At 41.1% G+C, this 18,950-nt stretch overlaps 1 protein-coding gene across 2 annotated transcripts; it reads left to right on the top strand.

Annotated features, from left to right (window-relative positions):
- Positions 1 to 224: 224 nt before the first annotated feature.
- Positions 225 to 16,988, top strand: MRLN (myoregulin). 2 transcript variants are annotated; one of them, NM_001304732.2, is made up of 4 exons: positions 225 to 326; positions 14,561 to 14,682; positions 15,118 to 15,221; positions 16,460 to 16,988. In NM_001304732.2, exon 4 carries the CDS (start codon positions 16,480 to 16,482, stop codon positions 16,618 to 16,620), a length of 141 nt encoding a protein of 46 aa, NP_001291661.1. In that variant the 5' UTR covers positions 225 to 326; positions 14,561 to 14,682; positions 15,118 to 15,221; positions 16,460 to 16,479; the 3' UTR covers positions 16,621 to 16,988. The 2 variants fall into 2 exon arrangements, with proteins under 2 accessions (NP_001291661.1, NP_001291660.1); NM_001304731.2 differs by lacking the exon at positions 14,561 to 14,682.
- Positions 16,989 to 18,950: the final 1,962 nt, after the last annotated feature.

Raw genomic sequence — 18,950 nt, 5'->3', positions numbered from 1 at the left:
ATATTTTGTTGGTTGTTTAACTCTTCAAAAACTTGACATAAGGGTCTATTGATTGTGGAGGAACTGATCTCCTTCTCATGGGTTCTTTGAGCTCCTGTGTGGGCATAAGTATATCTTTGTTATAATTTGTTCCACCTGTGCCTGTCAATTTCTTTCCACTTGCCTCCTCCCGTGACATTCTGGCTCATGTTTCTTCATAAAGCTCTAAGCCAGTTATTAATAACAGACCAGTGAGCCTCCTGATCCACCAAGACCATATGGTGTTTTTCATAAAAGAGAGAGATCATTCCCTTGACTTTGGACTTCGCTTATTGAACCCCTGGACAGTAAGTGTTTTTTTTTTGTTTGTTTTGTTTTGTTTTTTAATGTAGCATTTTAAGACGTTGATTTTGGAGGAAAGTTTAGTGTGACTCTAAAGTTTATGTGCTTCTGATAGAGGGAGAACATAGTAGGCTAAAATTCACTTAGACTCATAAAGCCTATTTCCTATTCCCTGCAGCATCTCTCTGCTTTTTATAAGGCTGATTATAAAGAGAGACCAATGAATTAGATTTCTACTCCTCTCATTTTCTTTTGGTTAAATAAAGGCAGGAGGAGAAGCAAAGGATTAACGATATTTAAACTACTTGACCAAGACCTGTGGCTGCAGCTTGACCTGTCTCCTTGTATTTTCTCTCCAAATAGAATTCCAGTGATTTCAAAGAGAATTTTCACATATGAAAAGTATATGTAGGGGATTGGGGGGAGGAGTAGTTGGACAAGAGACCTGGGCACTTTTGTTTTTTTCCCCCTTGTTATAGGTTTGGATCAGAGAGGGCACCTGTCTTGTTCCATGGATTCATTCCTTCCTTGTTTTTTAGCCAGAGGCTTTCTTTGTCTTTGCAGCCTTCTTTATGCTGGGTGCTTCTGAGAGTCCTTCAAAGTAGGTCACTATGTTTTCTGTCTAGAAAAGGGGGACCCTGAAGCCCAGAAAGGCCAATGCCCCGCTTGGTTCTCTTGAGCAGGGTTAAAACCTGACACTCCAATCCTTCTTCAAGACCACAGACTAATATAGCTTTCTGCTTTGGTTATGTATGTTCAATTCTTGAACATGTGCACCAGGCTTCTAAATAAAATGTGTAAGGGAAGCATGACAGGGAACTGGAAGGAGGCAGATGTGGTCTTGTTGTTGAGCCCTGGCTTGGACCACATACAAGCTGTGTGATCCTAAGAAAGTACTCAACCACTCTGAGCCTCAGTTTGCTCATTTGTAAAATGAGAATCATAGTCTCTTTTACAACGTGGTGGGGTTTACTCAGTGTATATAAGAAGCCAAGTATAGTGACAGTGACTGTTATTTTAACAAATTTATAAATTCCTTCTTTGAATTTTTCCTGAATCTTCCTAATTATCTCTCATTTGTTTCCAATTTAAATCCAGAGCCTCCAAATATGGTTTTTGATGGGAAACATGAATTTAAACTGTAGAGGCGATATCTGACTTCTACTACTTTTAGTAACTTCATTTTTAGAATAGTGTAAACCATGCAAATGCTGAGGACAGGTGGATTGGAGGATGGTATATTGTTAGCAATCAAGACATTAAGTCTACAGCTAAGATCAGCGATGATGAGAAACCTCCCCAAACAACTTCAAAATATAAACTATTATTTCCATAAACGTATGTGCTCTATTATAATCAGCATTCTAACATTTTTCTTTTTGCTCTGTCTTTCTATGTTTCCAAAAGACTGGTTTCCACCCTTGCCACATTAGATTCTGTGTGTCTGGATAAGACAGAAAGAAGGATTGTCTCAATACCTGCTTTCCAAAGTGTTGCTCTGTAACTCAGGAAATATGATTGGATTTTTGTTTTCCTCTGTAAACTTTAATTGTGCAAATATGTATTTAATTCCTACCATGTGCAAGACACCATGTGCTAACCTAAAACGGGGTCTATAAAAGTCAGAATGGGCTTACTCATGGTTCAGTACTCCTCCTTGGGTATCACTTTTTTTTTTTTTTTTTTTTTGAGACAGAGTCTTACTCTGTCACCCAGGCTGGAGTGCAGTGGCTTGATATCACCTCACTGCAATCTCCACCTCCCAGGCTCAAGTGATTCTTCCACCTCAGCCTCCCGAGTACCTGGGACTACAGGTGTGCACCAACATGCCCAGCTAATTTTTTGTTATTATTTTTTTTTAGTAGAGACAGGGTTTTGCCATGTTGCCCAGCCTGGTCTCAAACTCCTGGGCTCAAGTGAACCACCGCCTTGGTCTCCCAAAGTGCTGGAATTATAGGTGTGAGCCACCGCACCTGGCCAAGTATCACCTTCTAAGTAATGACTTTGTGAAGAATAGAAGAGCAACACCTTAAAGTCATACCTCATCTGCCCTATGGAAAAAAATTGTCATTAAGCACTTACTTTGTTCCAAGCTCTGTGGAAAATGCTAGAGATATCATTTCTGCTCTAAAGGTGGTCATAGTCTGTCATTTAAACTTGAAATTCTATTCTCCAGCCTAACCATCTATTTTCAGCTAAACTTGACTCCAAAGAACAATCAGCTTGTTTCAGAAATCAGATCTGCACCTAAAAACATAAAGACATTGCCACCAGTGAATTTATACCAAGGAGTGTGTGTTGCAGGCCAAGTAGGCAGTTTAAAAGGTTTTGCCAAATGCCTTTGAATACTCAAAAAAGTCCAGAGATTTCCCCACTCCCCTCCATTCACCAACTCCAAATGGGAATGACACTCATTTGGATATCTGAGTTCTGCAGGTCAAAAAACACAAACAAGCCCCCCTAGTCCCATTTCTGCATCCTGCACCCGTTTCTGCATCCTGCACCCATTTCTGCATCCTCGCACCACTCAAAGGACAAGTGTCTGCTGGCACCGCTGCGTTGGGGCTCTCTGAGGAAGCCTCGCACAGCTGATCCCCAGCCAGGGCTCCGGGCATTTCATCCGGCTTTGTAAAAGTGCATCACAACTGTGATTCATGGAGAGGGCTGGAAGACTTGGCAGGGAGAAGGTTGATAACATTTTGATTATTTCAATTCCAGAATATTTCGTAATGTTCAGTGCCCATAACTGAATAAATTCATGTCATCTCAGGGGCAATGTATGATCTGTTTAGGGCAAGAATATGGCAGCTAGAAACTTTAACCTTCAAGAGTCCTGATAGTGGAGGATTAAGAAGTCATGTTTGTTCATATGTAGAAAAATTGTTCTTTTTAGGGCCAGAACATTTACTTCAAACATTTGAGGCATGGCCATCAATGGCTTGGGAAAGCCAAAACTGAACAGATGTTGACCTAAAAAGAAAGCAAGTGGGCTGGGCGTGATGGCTCATGCCTGTAATCCCAGCATTTTGGGAGGCCAAGGAGGATGGATCACCTGAGGTCAGGAGTTCAACACCAGCCTGTCCAACATGGTGAAACCCTGTCTCTACTAAAAATACAAAAATTAACCGGTGTGGTGGTGGGAGCCTGTAATCCCAGCTACTCGGGGGCTGAGGCAGGAGAATTACTTAAACCCAGGAGGCGGAGGTTGCAGTGAGCCAAGATTGTGCCATTGCACTCCAGCCTAGGCAACAAGAGCGAAACTCCGTCTCAAAAAAAAAAAAAAAAAAAAAAAAAAAGAGAGAGAGAGAGAGAGCAAGGGAGGTTCCATTGAAGAGAAGAGAAACACAGTGGCTCCTGACAGGTCTGAAACCTGCTTTCTGACCTGGGGCGGGTGGGTGATCAGATGGACCCTCAGGAGTGCTGCCAGGCGAGCCAACACCCTGCTGCTCATGTGTCTGTGTGTCTGCCTCAGCTTCTCTGGGCTTTCCATCTCTTAAGGGCTATTTGTTTCCTCTCATCTAACTGAGCTACTCCATCCCTCTTCATGGCTGGGCTGCAAGGAAGTGGCCATCTTTCTGAATCTGCTGCTTCACTGAACTAGGCACTATTTATTGAGTGTCAGGCAGCATGCTGGGCTCTTGGCTTACTTTTTTTGTTTGCTTGTTTTGTTTTGTTTTTTTTTTGAGACCCAGGCTGGAGTTTAGTGGCACGATCTCGGTTCACTGCAACCTCTGCCTGCCAGGTTCAAGCGACTCTTGTGCTTCAGCCTCCTGAGTAGCTGAGACTACAGGTGCGAACCACCACGCCCAGCTAATTTTTGCATTTTTAGTAGAGGCAGGGTTTTGCCATGTTGGCCAAGCTGATCTCCAACTCCTGACCTCAGGTGATCTGCCTGCCTTGGCCTCCCAAAGTGCTGGGATTACGGGTGTGAGCCACCATGCCTGGCCTCTTGGCTTACATTTTTACCAGTCCTGCAATATTGCAGTGGCTAAGGCCGTGGGCATTGGAGCCAAACAAATCTCCATAAAAATCCTTGGTCACCTCTTAGTACGTGTGTAACGTTGGACAGCTATCTTAACCTCTCTGGGTTTCTGTATTTTTGAATAAGAAAATAGTGGTATGAATATTCCACCTCATAAAGTTTTATGAGATTAAAAATAAGTGTGTATAGAAGGCACTGAACTTTAGCTATGAATAAAGTCCTTTCAACCCCCCACAAGACAGATATTACTCTCTCTGTTCTCCAGATGAGGTGGCATCTGAGGTCAGGTGCTTTGTCCAAGGCTGCAGAGTTAATAGTGGTAAGAGCCAGGATCTCAAACTGGTTCCATCTGGTTCAGATCCTGTACTCTCTCCTCACTCCACCTTGCTGACTGATCATCTGTGACTAACATGTTTCTGTGTTCAGTCGAAGTCCACTTGTCAAATTCTCTGCCTTGTGGCCCTGACCTGCCACATTTTCTACTTTTCACTTGTGATTTGCTTTGATCTGGACTCTCTGGTTATACATGGGCTGGAATCAAAGATGTTGGAGGGTGATGAAGGTAGACTCTCCTCACGTAGCTGACTGGTGAAATGCAGAATCCAGTCTATCATAAATGTCAGAAAATTGCTGAGGCAATTGTAGCACTAGCTTTGGAAAAAGTCACTGTGTGACCTCAGACAAGTCTCTGCACTTCTCTGGGCCTTGTTTGTCAAATGAGAAGTTTACAAAAGCTCCAATATCTTTTCTATACCAACATTTCGTTAGTATTTCCAGTCTTTCCCCCTTATTGTTTTTCTTAGCTGGAAAGAGAATAATTGACCTGAGATCATGTCTTAATCAGGAAACAAGGTGCAAGAATAATGCCTGCCATCATTTAAACATACAGCCATATGCATTATTTAATTCCCATACAAGCTTTCTATGATATAATGTTCATGTCATTGATAAGTTAATTTCTCAGATTTGTGTTAAATTTCCTTTCTCATATAATTCAACTTCGGGCAGAATTGAAGGGGACCTTAATGAGCTCAGAAAATGCAGCTTGAACTCAAATTTTAGAAGCTTACAGAACACAAAAAATCCATTTACCATTGCATATGCCCAAATTTTCCCAAATTACTCGAATTTGAGTTTAGTGAGGGCAAACCTCCAGTATGCTGTAGAAACGGTGGCCATCCCAACAGATCATCCCATTCTAAAACCCTGCACGTCCTGTGCCAAGTTTTTCTTGCCTTCCAACAACTTGACTTGCTTCCCTAATTATAAGCAAAAAAAAAAAAAACAAAAGAAAAAGCATTAATAAGACATAGTTCTCATATGATTTCTCAAGTTTCTAAAAGACAGTTGTCTTGAACATAAACTTTCTGGGAAAGGGAGATGTTCTCCATAGGGAGACAAGTTGCAAGCACCCAACTTTGGGATTTTATTTTTAAAATTATTTGCCGGGAGAAGTAGACTTATTATGTATGTTTTTCTTGTTGTAATTGTCATTTGGACAAAGTGAACTTTCATTCTTCCCAGAAAGCTTCTGCTTTAAGTATAGTCAAGTCAGTATTTTTTGAGAACTAATTAGTGTCGGAGAGTGTGAGGCACTGGAATCCAGGATGAATAAGGCCGTCCCCTACCTTCTAGGAAAGCATCACTGACTATAGCGTATTGCATGTAAACAACCATGATACAGTGTGGTCACTGGCAACATGTTACGGACAAGTCGGAAATACATTCTGTCTAAGGAAGTCAGATTGGATAACAGAGGAGGTGAGATTGAATCTCAAAGGATGAATAGGAGTTTAACAGTTTTGCCTGTTTAGGTACTTAAAGAGAACTTGAGAAGAATGATTCATTCAAGGGCTACTGTCTAACAGTAATATGCTAAACTGTAATTAATAATAGACACTATCACTTACTAAATGTTTACTTTCTAGGCACAAGCATTATCTCATTGAATTATCAGGCTACCCTAAGAAGCAGGTACCATTATCCCCACTTTATGGAAGTGCCAACTGAGGCACAGAGTTAACGTAGCTTGCTTAAGATCTCATGCACAGTGGCAGACCTGAGATTCAAACTCTGTCAGTCTGATTCTAGACCCATCTCTCAAACACCATGTCTTGGCAGCATTCTTATTATTTCTCAGCTTAGTTAATGTTAAGGAGGTCAAGGGGAGAAACTTGTTAGCCATAAGGTAACAAGTGGTTAAAAACAAATAACAATAAATATGAATAAAATAGGTAGTAAAAGATAATAAAAATAAATAATAAAAACTGTACTTTTAGCTGGGAGCAGTGGCTCACGCCTGTAATCCCAGCACTTTGGGAGGATGAGGCGGACGGATCACCTGAGGTTGGGAGTTCAAGACCAGCCTGACCAACATGGAGAAACCCCATCTCTACTAAAAATACAAAAATTAGCCAGACGTGGTGGTGCATGCCTGTAATCCCAGCTACTCAGGAGGCTGAGGCAGGAGAATCACTTGAATCCGGGAGGTGGAGGCTGCAGTGTGCAGTGAGCCGACATCGTGCCATTGGACTCCAGCCTGGGCAACAAGAGCAAAAACAAAAAAACTGTACTTTCAGCTAAATTTGTTGTTAAATAGTGAGCTCACAGTTGTGATCTGGGCAATGTCCCATTTACAAAGGGCAGATTGTTTTGATGTGAATAAATTAGCAACTAACTGTTATAAAGTGAATTCCGGCAAATTTGGGGTTATCAGGGCCAGAGGGGTAACTGTCAGCCCTTCCATCCCATCCACAACCAGCTCACTTATATAGAAAGGATCCAGGACTGAAGAAGGAGCATGGCCATTAATAATTATGTGATGTTTCCATGCCAGTATAGTCCATTTCCATTATAATGTAGATCTTTTCAAAAGTAACTTTTCATTTTAAAACATGAATAAATCAGTATAGTTGAAAGAGCATGGCATCTGGAAGCTGAAGTACTGGATTAGTTTCTAAACTATGGCACAGAATACTCAAAGTCCTTCATCTCCCAGTTGTGCATAAGCAGCGCCTGGCACATAATAGACCCTCAATAAATGGTGGTTATTATAATATTATTTACTTAAGTAGCTTATTAAGCAAAAGTGGACAGATTTCAACTGTGTCTCATTTTTCAACATATGCCTCTAGGGAACTTCTATCAATATTATCTTAACTGTTAGACATTGATTGAAACAAGGAGAAGGGTTAGAAAATTTTTATTAAAAAAGAAAATATTTTTGAAGTGTGACTGATGTGTTTAAGATTATAAACTTGAATCCAATGAAAAGTGTTTTTATTTTGAGTGAAAAAGGGACTTTGCAAAGTATATTCATTTTGTACTTTGTCCTAACCAAAAATCCACACTTAATAAAGAGAAATGTTAGAGGTTAGGAGAAATTGAGAAAAGTGTGAAGTCTCAGAACTCGTAATACTTTTATATAATAGAGGGATTTTTTTGTTGTTGTTTGTTTTTTTGTTGTTGTGGTTTTTTTTGCCAGGGGACCAAGCCATTTAGAAAATACATTGTTCTTATGGTCCCTGGAGTCAGAGTTGACTTCAAAGGCAAGGGCTTACAAACTGGTGGCAGAGTGAAGAACAGAGGATACAATGAAGTCCAGCTCCTAGAAACCAGGGGTTCCTGCTACTCTCATTTGTCTAACTCTGTGGGATACCACTCCTCAACTATCTAATAAGCAATGAACAGGTCAATTTAAATTAGATTATTTGGACCTGAATCTTGATACAATCAAAGGAAGAAATAAAAACTTATAAACTAGATGAGAGTATCCATTCTACTTTCAGTACAACAGTCTATAAAATAATAAAGTGACTCCCAATGGCCTCTAGAAATGAGGAAAAGAAAGGCAGAGGTGTTCACATGGTGGGGGGTGGGGGGTGGGGGGGGGAATTATTTGCCGTCATCTGAAGTTTCAACATAAAAAAAATCTGACCCAAAATAACCTCAGCTGTCATATCAGAAATGGAAGGTCATGTCATTTTAACTATGATGTTAAAACATTACGTTGGAGATAAGACCAAGGTCCTGAGATAAACACATTCAGTAAGTTGTAGCATAGTTTTTAAGGTGTCCTAACTTGTTTAAAATTTGTGTATATTTTTTGGTACATGTTTCTATCAGATAAAAACTAGGAAATATTTCATCCTGAAAATTACTGCTGTTAAATAGCTATTCTCTTCAACAAATGCCCCTTCAATCCTAAAGAAGAAACACTACCATGATTCATTTTCTTTTTTTTATTTTATTTTATTTTTTTTTTAGTATTTATTGATCATTCTTGGGTGTTTCTCAGAGAGGGGGATTTGGCAGGGTCATAGGACAATAGTGGAGGGAAGGTCAGCAGATAAACATGTGAACAAAGGTCTCCGGTTTTCCTAGGCAGAGGGCCCTGCTGCCTTCGGCCGTGTTTGTGTCCCTGGGTATTTGAGATTAGGGAGTGGTGATGACTCTTAACGAGTATGCTGCCTTCAAGCATCTGTGTAACAAAGCACATCTTGCACCGCCCTTAATCCATTTAACCCTTAGTGGACACAGAACATGTTTCAGAGAGCACGGAGTTGGGGGTAAGGTTATAGATTAACAGCATCCCAAGGCAGAAGAATTTTTCTTAGTACAGAACACAATGGAGTCTCCTATGTCTACTTCTTTCTACACAGACACAGTAACAATCTGATCTCTCTTTCTTTTCCCCACATTTCCCCCTTTTCTATTCGACAAAACCGCCATCTTCATCATGGCCCGTTTTCAATGAGCTGTTGGGTACACCTCCCAGACCGGGTGGCGGCTGGGCAGAGGGGCTCCTCACTTCCCAGTAGGGGCGGCTGGGCAGAGGCGCGCTCCCCCACCTCCCAGACGGGGTGGCAGCCGGGCGGGGGCTGCCCCCCACCTCCCGGACGGGGCGGCTGGCCGGGCGCGGCTGCTCCCCGCCTCCCGGAAGGGGCAGCTGCCGGGCGGAGGGGGTCCTCACTTCTCAGACGGAGCAGCTGGTCAGAGACACTCCTCACCTCCCAGACGGGTGGCGGCGGGGCAGAGACACTCCTCAGTTCCCAGACGGGGTCGCGGCCGGGCAGAGGCACTCTTCACATCTCAGACGGGACGGTGGGGCAGAGGCGCTCCCCACATCCTAGACAATGGGTGGCCGGGCAGAGACGCTCCTCACTTCCTAGACAGGATGACGGCCGGGAAGAGGTGCTCCTCACTTCCCAGACTGGGCGGCCAGGCAGAGGGGCTCCTCACATCCCAGATGATGGGCAGCCAGGCAGAGGCACTCCTCACTTCCTAGACGGGGTGGCGGCCGGGCAGAGGCTGCAATCTCGGCACTTTGGGAGGCCAAGGCAGGCGGCTGGGAGGTGGCGGTTGTAGCGAGCCGAGATCACGCCACTGCACTCCAGCCTGGGCAACATTGAGCACTGAGTGAGCCAGACTCCGTCTACAATCCCGGCACCTGAGAGGCGGAGGCTGGCAGATCACTCATGGTCAGGAGCTGGAGACCAGCCCGGCCAACATGGCGAAACCCCGTCTCCACCAAAAAATACGAAAACCAGTCAGGCGTGGCGGCGCGCACCTGCAATCCCAGGCACTCGGCAGGCTGAGGCAGGAGAATCAGGCAGGGAGGTTGCAGTGAGTCGAGATGGCAGCAGTACAGTCCAGCCTCGGCTGGGCATCAGAGGGAGACCATGCAAAGAGGGAGGGGGAGGCGGAGGGGGAACGACCCATGATTCATTTTCAATGTAAATCCAAGCACCATGTGACTCATAATTTTAATCCACAGTAAAACCTGGGTGTGTTAGGAAACTTGTGATGAGACAAATTTGTGTCCTTCCAATTATTTAGATCTAGAAACAGACCTAACATCAAGGGCAAAAACCAAACAGGAACCCCTGGTTCCTGTTCCTCATGGTGGAAGAGATTTGCCTTATCATAGAAGTTACATACTTTCATTAAAATGTTTCGTTGATAAATGTAATTTTCCTTTCATTCATATTTGTTATAATGATTGGTTTGACAAAAATAAAATCAGTATAAATTACTTTGAAATATATCAGAGGGAGGAAGACTAACAGTAATGAGACTACTTTCCTTAGTGTTCTGAAGTTATATAGGCAATATCCTTTTAAATGAATGAATGTGAGAAATGGAAACAGCAAGGTGTGGTGGGGGGCGGGGGCGGGTGGCAGTGAGAAATGGAAACAGCAGAGGGAAAAGAAAATCACCCAAATTCCTTCCACCCAAACTTCACAACTATGGCCACTATTGACATTTGGATTTATTTCTCTCTGGTCTTTTATTTTGTTTAGTATTTTAATTATGAAGTCTAACATATATACAGAAAAGCACATGAAGGCCAGGTACAGTGGCTCATGTCTGTAATCCCACCACTTTGGGAGGCTGAGGCAGGAGGATCACTGGAGGCCAGGAGTTCAAGACCAGCCTGGGGAATATAGTGAGACCCTGTCTCTACAAAAATAAAAATAAACTACCTGGGTGTGGTTGCATGTGCCTGTGGCCCCAGCTACTCATGAGGCTGAGGTGGGAGGATTGCTTGAGTCCAGGAGTTCAAGGCTGCAATGGAATAGGATTGTACCACTACACTCCAAGCTAGGATACAGAGTGAGACTCTCGAAAGAAAGCAAGCAAGAAGGAAGGAAGGAAGGAAAAGAAAGGGAAGGAAGGAAAAGAAAGGGAAGGAAGGGAAGGAAGGAAGGGAAGGAAGGAAGGAAGGAAATAAATCACATGAAGCTTCTATGTACAGTTTAATAAACAGTTAAAAAGTGATTGCTAGTATAACCACCACCCAGGACAAGAGATGAAACACTGTTGGAATCTCTTGCCTGTTTCCTTCCCCTATACTCCCTAAAGTCAGGACTACTCTGATTTTGTGGTAGCAAATCTCTTTCTTTTCTTGATAAATTTACCACTTGCATTACTGCCAACCATATATATACCCCTAAACCATGCACTTTAACTCTATTTTTCTAGTTTATATAAATGTACTTACGCTGTTGTCTTTTGTGTCTTGCTTTTTAAAATTCAATGCTATCTTTATTAGATTCACCTGTTTTTGTATTTTAAAATTCAATGGTATATTTGTAAGATTCATCTTTGTTTTTGTCTATAGCTGTAGTTTAATTTTTACTATTATATAATATTCCATTATATGACTATGCCACAATTTATCCGTGTACTAATGGCATTTAAGTTGTTTCCATATTGAAGCTATTACAATGTTTGGATATGTGTCTTGGTAGGCAGATAGCCATGCATTCTGGTGGGGGATACACTTAGGAGTGTAATGGGTGGTTATAAGTAGGAGTTATAATCATATTTAAACATTTTAATATCATCAAGGTGCAGTGGCTCCCCAGTGCTTTGGGAAACTGAGGAGGGGAGGACCACCTGAGGCCAGCAGTTTGAGGCTGCAGTGAGCTAGAATCGCACTCCTGTTCTCCCAGGATTGCTTGAGGTCAGGAGTTTGAGACTAGCCTGGGCAACATAGCAGGACTCCGTCTCTACAAAAAATTAAAAATTAGCCAGGCAAGGCGGTGCACACCTGTAGCCGTAGCTACTCAGGAGCTGAGGAGGGAGGATTGAATGAGCCCAGGAGTTCAAGGTTACAGTGAGCTATGATCACACCACTACATTCCAGCCTGGGTAACAGAGCAAGCTCCTGTTTCAAAATAAGGAAATAGGCTGGGTGTGGTGGCTCACCTCTGTAATCCTAGCATTTTGGGAGGCTAAGGCAGGTGGACTGCTTGAGCTCAGGGCTTCAGTATCAGCCTGGGCAACGTGGCAAAATCCCATCTCCACAAAAAATACAAAAAATTAGCTAGGCATGGTGGCACACACCTGTAGTCCCAGCTACGCAGGAGGCTGAGGTGGGAGCATCGCTTGAGCCTGGGAGGTCGAGCCTGTAGTGAGCCATATTTGTGCCACTGCACTCCAGCCTAGGTGACAGAGTGAGATACTATCTCAAAAAAATTAAAAATAAAATAAGAAAGTAAATAAAAAATTAAAATAAAAAATGTACAGTAAAAATGTGGTATAAAAGATAAACAGTGGTACACCTGTATAGGGCACTTCCCATGAATGGAGCTTGCAGGACTGGAAGTTGCACTGGGTGAGTCACTGAGTGAATGGTGAGTGAATTTGAAGGCCTAGGACATTCCTGTACACTACTCTAGACTTTGTGAACACTGTACACTTAGGCTACACTAAATTTATTTATCATTTTTTTCTTTCATCAGTAATAAATTAAGTTTCAGAATAAAGAAATAGGCTGGGACTGGTGGCTCACCTCTGTAATCTCAGCACTTTGGGAGGCTGAAGCAGACGGATCACCTCAGGGGAGGAGCTCAAGACCAGCCTGGCCAACATGGTGAAATACCGTCTTTACTAAAAATACAAAAATCAGCCAGATGTGGTGGTGCATTCCTGTAATCTCAGCTACTCGGGAGGCTGAGGCAGGAGAATTGCATGAATCCAGGAGGAAGAGGTTGCAGTGTGCTGAGATCGCGCCATTGCACTCCAGCCTGGGCGATAAGAGAGAGACTCTGTCTCAAAAAAAAAAGAAAGAAAGAAAGAAAGAAAGAAAGAAAACAAAGAAAAAGAAAAAAATTAAATTTCATATACTGCAATTTTTTACTTTATAAACTTTTTAATTTTCTTAATGTTTTGACTCTTTCATAATAATAATAATACTTAGCTTAAAGCACAAACACATTGTATGGCTGTACACAAACATTTTCTTTCTTTATATCCTAATTCTATAAGCTTTTTTCTATCAAAATTTTTAATTTTTTTTCTTATAAGACACAAACACACACATTAGCCTAGGTCTGCACAGGGCCAGGATCATTAATATCACTGTCGTCCACGTCGGCATCTTGTCCCACTGGAAGGTCTTCAGGGACAATAGCATGCATGGAGCTGTCATCTCCTGTGATAATGATGCCTTCTTCTGGAATACCTCAAGGACCTACCTGGGGCTGTTTTACAGTTAACTTTTAAAAAGATAAGGACAAGGAGTGCACTCTAAAATAATAAAAAGTATAGTATAGTCAATACAACTATTAACAGTCATTTTTTATCATTATCAAGTATTATGTACCATACATCATTGTACATGCTGTGGTTTCACAGGACTGGCAGTGCTGTAGGTTTGTTTATAGCAGCATCACCACAAACACATGAGTAATGCATTGTGCTATGACATTATAACAACTATGACTTCACTAAGACATAGGAATTTTACAACTCTGTTATAATCTTTTTTTTTTTTTTTAAGATGGAGTCTCACTCCATCTCCCAGGCTGGAGTGCAGTGGCGCGATCTCAGCTCACTGCAGCCTCCACCTCCTAGGTTCAAGCAATTCTCTGCCTCAGCCTCCCAAGTAGCTGGGATTACAGGCGCCTGCCACCATGCCCGGCTAATTTTTGTATTTTTAGTATAGACAGGGTGTCACCATCTTGGCCAGGCTGGTCTTGAACTCCCGACCTTGTGATCCACCCGCCTTGGCCTCCCAAAGTGCTGGGATTACAGGCGTGAGCCACTGTGCCCGGCCAACTCTGTTATAATCTCATGGGACTACTGCCAGTCCTTCATTGACTCAAGTCATTATGCAGTGTGTGACTGCACATGGTTAAAGGAGACAGCAATCAGATTTTATAGCCTTGTCTTTTGTAATAAATTCACTCCATTTTCTAATTTGTTTGTAAAAATGATACAAAATACTAAAACATAATACAGTTGGCCCTCCAGATCCATGGGTTCCATATCCATGGATTCAACCAACCACAGATTGAAAATATTTTGAAAAAACTATGTATCTCTATTGCATATGTACAGACTTTTTTTCTTGTCATTGTTTTGTATACAATACAGCATAACAGCTATTTACATAGCACTTATATTGTATTAGGTATTATAAGTAACGTATGGAGATGATTTACAGCATATGGGAGGATATGTGTAGTTTATATGTAAATACTATGCCATTTATATCAGGGACTTGAGCATTTATGGATTTTGGTATCCATGGTTACTGTATCTGTGGGGTATTCTAGAACTAATCCCTCATGGGTACTGAGGGATGACTGTACTTAAAAAATAGGCACACAATCTCATGAGTTATGGTCACTTACATACGAAGGCTTTTCTGGTTGTAATTGTTGTTTTGTCATGAAGATATTAAAGCCTTGGTTTCAGACAATTTTTAGGGAATTATTTCTTTTCTTTTCTTTTTTTTTTTTTGAGACGGAATCTCCCTCTGTCGCCCAGGCTGGAGTGCAGTGGCACCATCTCGGCTTACCGCAACCTCCGCCTCCTGGGTTCAAACAATACTCCTACCTTGGCCTCCTGAGTAGCTGGGATTACAGGTGAGCACCACCATGCCCGGCTAATTTTTTTTGTACTTTTAGTAGAGACGGGGTTTCACCATATTGGTCAGGCTGGTCTCGAACTCCTGACCTTGTGATCTGCCCGCTTTGGCCTTCCAAAGTGCTGGGATTACAGGCGTGAGCCACCGTGCCCGGTCGGGAATTACTTCTTTAAAAAGTGTGGTGAATGTTTGCCCCACCAGGAAAATCCTAGAATTTAGCTTAATCTTTCTGTCCAATGTTCAGTTTTAAGCTCTACAATTCTGGGATAAACAGAAATTAAAGTGTCATATTTTCAAAAGTTCACTCTTAGACATCTCCTTCCAATCTAGTTTTGAAAACAATTTTAGAAGTTTTTCTGTGTAGGCTCCCTGCCCCTCCACTTCCTACACTACCTCACTGTCCAGTAAAACTTTTTGCTATGATTTGACACAGGAATCAAGGTTGCTAAGAGACCACCTGTGCTGAATACACTTTGTTCTGGCAAGAGCAGAAAACTGAGAAGCCGTGTTACCTACCACTACCTGGGATTAATTCAGGTGAGAAATGGGTCTCTACTCACTCCTCATTCCTCACTAATTGTCTATTCCCCTCCTCACTTCTTATTTCAGTCTCTCTCTTACTCTATTTGGAGAGAGTTGAAGGTACCCCTGGGAGCCACAGACTGAAGAAACACAAGCTGGAGTTTGAGGTTTCTGGAGAGAAGGAAAATCACTTTGCAAACCCGTGTATTATTTTTGCTCCTTGTTGCTGAAACACAGGCAAAAGGAATTGTTGCATGCAGGGAAAATTCTAGGTGTTTCTTTTGCTAATGATTATTGTATAATTTGGGGCAAGTAATTCCCTTCTCTAGGAATGGAGCAATTTATTACAGAAATTATCAAGATAGCTCAAAATGGGAGTAGACAACACTGGCAGAGTACTCATTTCTTTCCCCTTCTCTTTTTCTTATTCTCTCTTAAAAGTCTACCTGCCTTTTTTATTTTGGGGTGAAAATAGTAGATGAAATATTTTACTACCCAAATCTTGCCACGTTTTTGATACTGACGTTCATTTTAAGTTGAGTATATATGGGGAACTTTGGTGTAAGGCTTTGAAAACCACTTATTTGCCTTTACATCCCCTGTAAAAGGGATTAAGAATGCTTCTAAATGTCCTGCCTAACAGACGTTTGGTAAACTGTTCCAACAATGTGGAATGCAGACCACAAATTCCAGGTAGTTTTTAAAACCTGTTTTATTAATACAGAAATGTGGAGGAAATTAAATGTTTGATGTCTTAGTAAGTAACCAAAACATGACAGACAGGATCTTGAGGAAAGAAAAATACCTTTTTTTTTTTTTTTTTTTGATCAGTACCTGCCTTTTTTCATGTCTTCAAATTCTCACTTCCTGGTAACACCAATAGTACAAGTTAGAGGAATAGCAGCTTCACCAATGCCAATAAAAATGATTGAAATGACTGCAGATACTTGATAAATAAACTTACTACAGATAACATGAAAAGGGAATGGCCACTATGAAAGTTCCTTGAGCTGTTTGTTTTAGAAAGAAAGGCAAGTTTGGCATAGAGAAAAGCCTGTGATTTTGACAGAAAGTGGTCAAAATAAATGGGAGAAAAATATTTTATTTCATTGATTGGTTACAAATAGGTGTGGAATATTCCCTGGAAGACTTACCTTGTTCACAATCTTTTTATAGTGGAAATATTAGATTGAGTTGAAAGAATCAGTATTATAAATGTGTTCATTTGAGGATACTTTTCTCTTTTTTCCTAGGGAGCGGGATAATTCTGGATATGACTGGTAAAAACTGGATATTAATTTCTACTACTACTCCCAAAAGTCTAGAAGATGAAATTGTGGGAAGACTTCTAAAAATTTTGTTTGTTATCTTTGTTGACTTAATTTCTATTATATATGTTGTGATAACTTCTTAGAAAGCTGACTTCCTTTCCATGTACATTTCAAACTGAATTACAGTGAATAAAAATTTGTATTTTAACTTGTTGAGTGACTCACATTTTATGACATTGCCAATTTATTCTAGAAGCCAACAGGACACTGCAATACAAACAACATTGTGTATTGTTTAGTTCTTTATGGTTTATGAAACATTCACATATACTGAAGTGAATTTTTTTCCCCAAAAACATCTATCCTACTGAGTCATGAAACTTCTAGATTTTTAGCCAGGTGTGGTGGCTCACACCTGTAATCCCAGCACTTTGAGAGGCCCAGGTAGGCGGATCCCTTGAGTGCAGGAGTTCGATACGGGCCTGAGCAACCTGAAGAAATCCCATCTCTACTAAAAATAAAAATTAAAAAAATTTGACAGGCATGGTGGTGCATGCCTGTATAGTCCCAGATACTCATACTCGGGATGCTGAGGTGGGAGAATCGCCTGAGTCCAGGAAATCAAGTTTGCAGTGAGCTGTGATCACACCACTGCACTCCAGCCTGGGTGAAAGAGAGAGACCCAGTCTCAAAACAAAAACAAACAAACAAACAAACAACTTCTGGATTTTTTTAACATAGTCGTTATTTGGTGTATTGACTAAAATTTATACGTGAGATTGTGAGTGAAGTTGATTTTTTAGGATGTGTACCTATGTGACATTTTATATAATTCTATTTTTAACATACCAAGTTTAACATTCCAGTAGCATAATCTTTACATATGCTGTACCAATTTTCTTATACACATATTTCATCTGTTTGTAGGTGGATTATTTTTCTTAACCCTGGGCAATTGGATAAGTGAGAAATATTTCTATCAACAAAGACTTACGAATGAAAATACTTAGAAGAGATTCTTTTAGGAAAACAACTTATAAGAAAGGAGAGAAGGCAGAGTATAACCTATGTTGAGTTCCTATTTGGGACTAAATGCTCACTCTATGTCATTTAATCTAAGGCTTACAATAACCCTAGGTGGCAGGCACTTCTTGCCTCCATTTTACAGATGAAGAAACTGAATCTTGGAAGAATTGTGCCAGTTTGAGGCCAACACTAGGAAGTGTCTGGAACCGGATCCGGAGGCTTCACAATCTATATGTTGCCTCCAAAGGTAAATAATAACTTTATAAGACAAGTGTAGTTAAAAACCAATCTGTAGAGCTAAACTCTTTTTCTTACAGTAATTCTTTATTCAAGTTCCTCTTGCTGTATTTAATATTGCCTCTGTTTTCTTATTCCATATTTAAACATTTTTTTTTATCAAGAAGAAAGATCAAGTTTACTTTTTTCTTATGTCCCACTCGAAAATGTGTTCTCTTCCCCTGTTTTCTCCATTTCCGCTTTATCTCACAGGGTTAAAATATAACTGTTGAACTTCTACTTTTTAAGCTTTTGAAAAACAAATGACTCTCTGTCCTTTAGACTTTTTGAGTTCTTACTTTGGACACACATACTCAACAAAATTCTGAGTTCTTCTATGTGATAATTGTTTTCTTTGATTTGGTCCAATCATTAATGCAAGGTTTCATAAGAGATCTAATTAAGTGTGAAAGGAATCTGGACCTTTGAGACATATCCTTTAACCAGCTCTTACTTAACCTGTCAGCAGTGTTGTATATTTAACCACAAACCAAATAGAGTCAAACTGAGTGTTAATTGAAAACAGTAGCAGAACGTCCTATTCTTCCTCTACACTGTATTATTAGACCATACCTTTGGGGTATAAGGACCACCTCCTGTTGATGTGATGTGCTTCTCCTCAAACCCCTATATTTGAGATTTGTTGGAACCCATTATCAGGTCACTCCTGTTTTCAGGCAGTTGTTTCTTTTCTCTGGGAACTTCCAGGCAGTAGACAAGGTGGTCCGAATCATCTATTCTGAAGCCAGACTGCTTGGGTCACTTCCTATAGTTCGACAGCCCTATGTCTCTCAGCTTCCTTACTTATAAAATGAGAGCCTAGCTCATAGGGTTGTAGAGAAAACGAAATGAAGTAACTGATGCAAAGTGCTTAGTACAGTCCCTGGCATATGGGAAACCTTTAATCTATGATAGATTGCTGTCATTATTATCCTCAGGTGGGAGCAAAAGTGATGTGGCTTCCTTCAAACTTACACTCCCCCTTACACTTAGAATGACCTCATATTAACCCATCACATTGGCCCAAGGAGGTGATTATGTTCCACAGGAACCTAGGCATAGTTCTGCTGGAGGTATAGATCTAAACTGGCTGACCTCGCAGGGCGTCTTTTGGTTATGTTATTTTGGGAGCTGGAAGTTACAACTAGGTACCATAATGTGACTTGAGACA

Source organism: Homo sapiens, chromosome 10 (genome assembly GCF_000001405.40).
Source record: "Homo sapiens chromosome 10, GRCh38.p14 Primary Assembly".
Classification (NCBI taxonomy): domain Eukaryota; kingdom Metazoa; phylum Chordata; class Mammalia; order Primates; family Hominidae; genus Homo; species Homo sapiens.
This window is presented reverse-complemented; position numbering and strand designations above follow the sequence as displayed.

What these genes read in the sequence shown, in the direction of transcription:
- MRLN (NM_001304731.2), top strand. Translation starts at nt 16,480, where the DNA reads ATGACTGGTAAAAACTGGATATTAATTTCTACTACTACTCCCAAAAGT.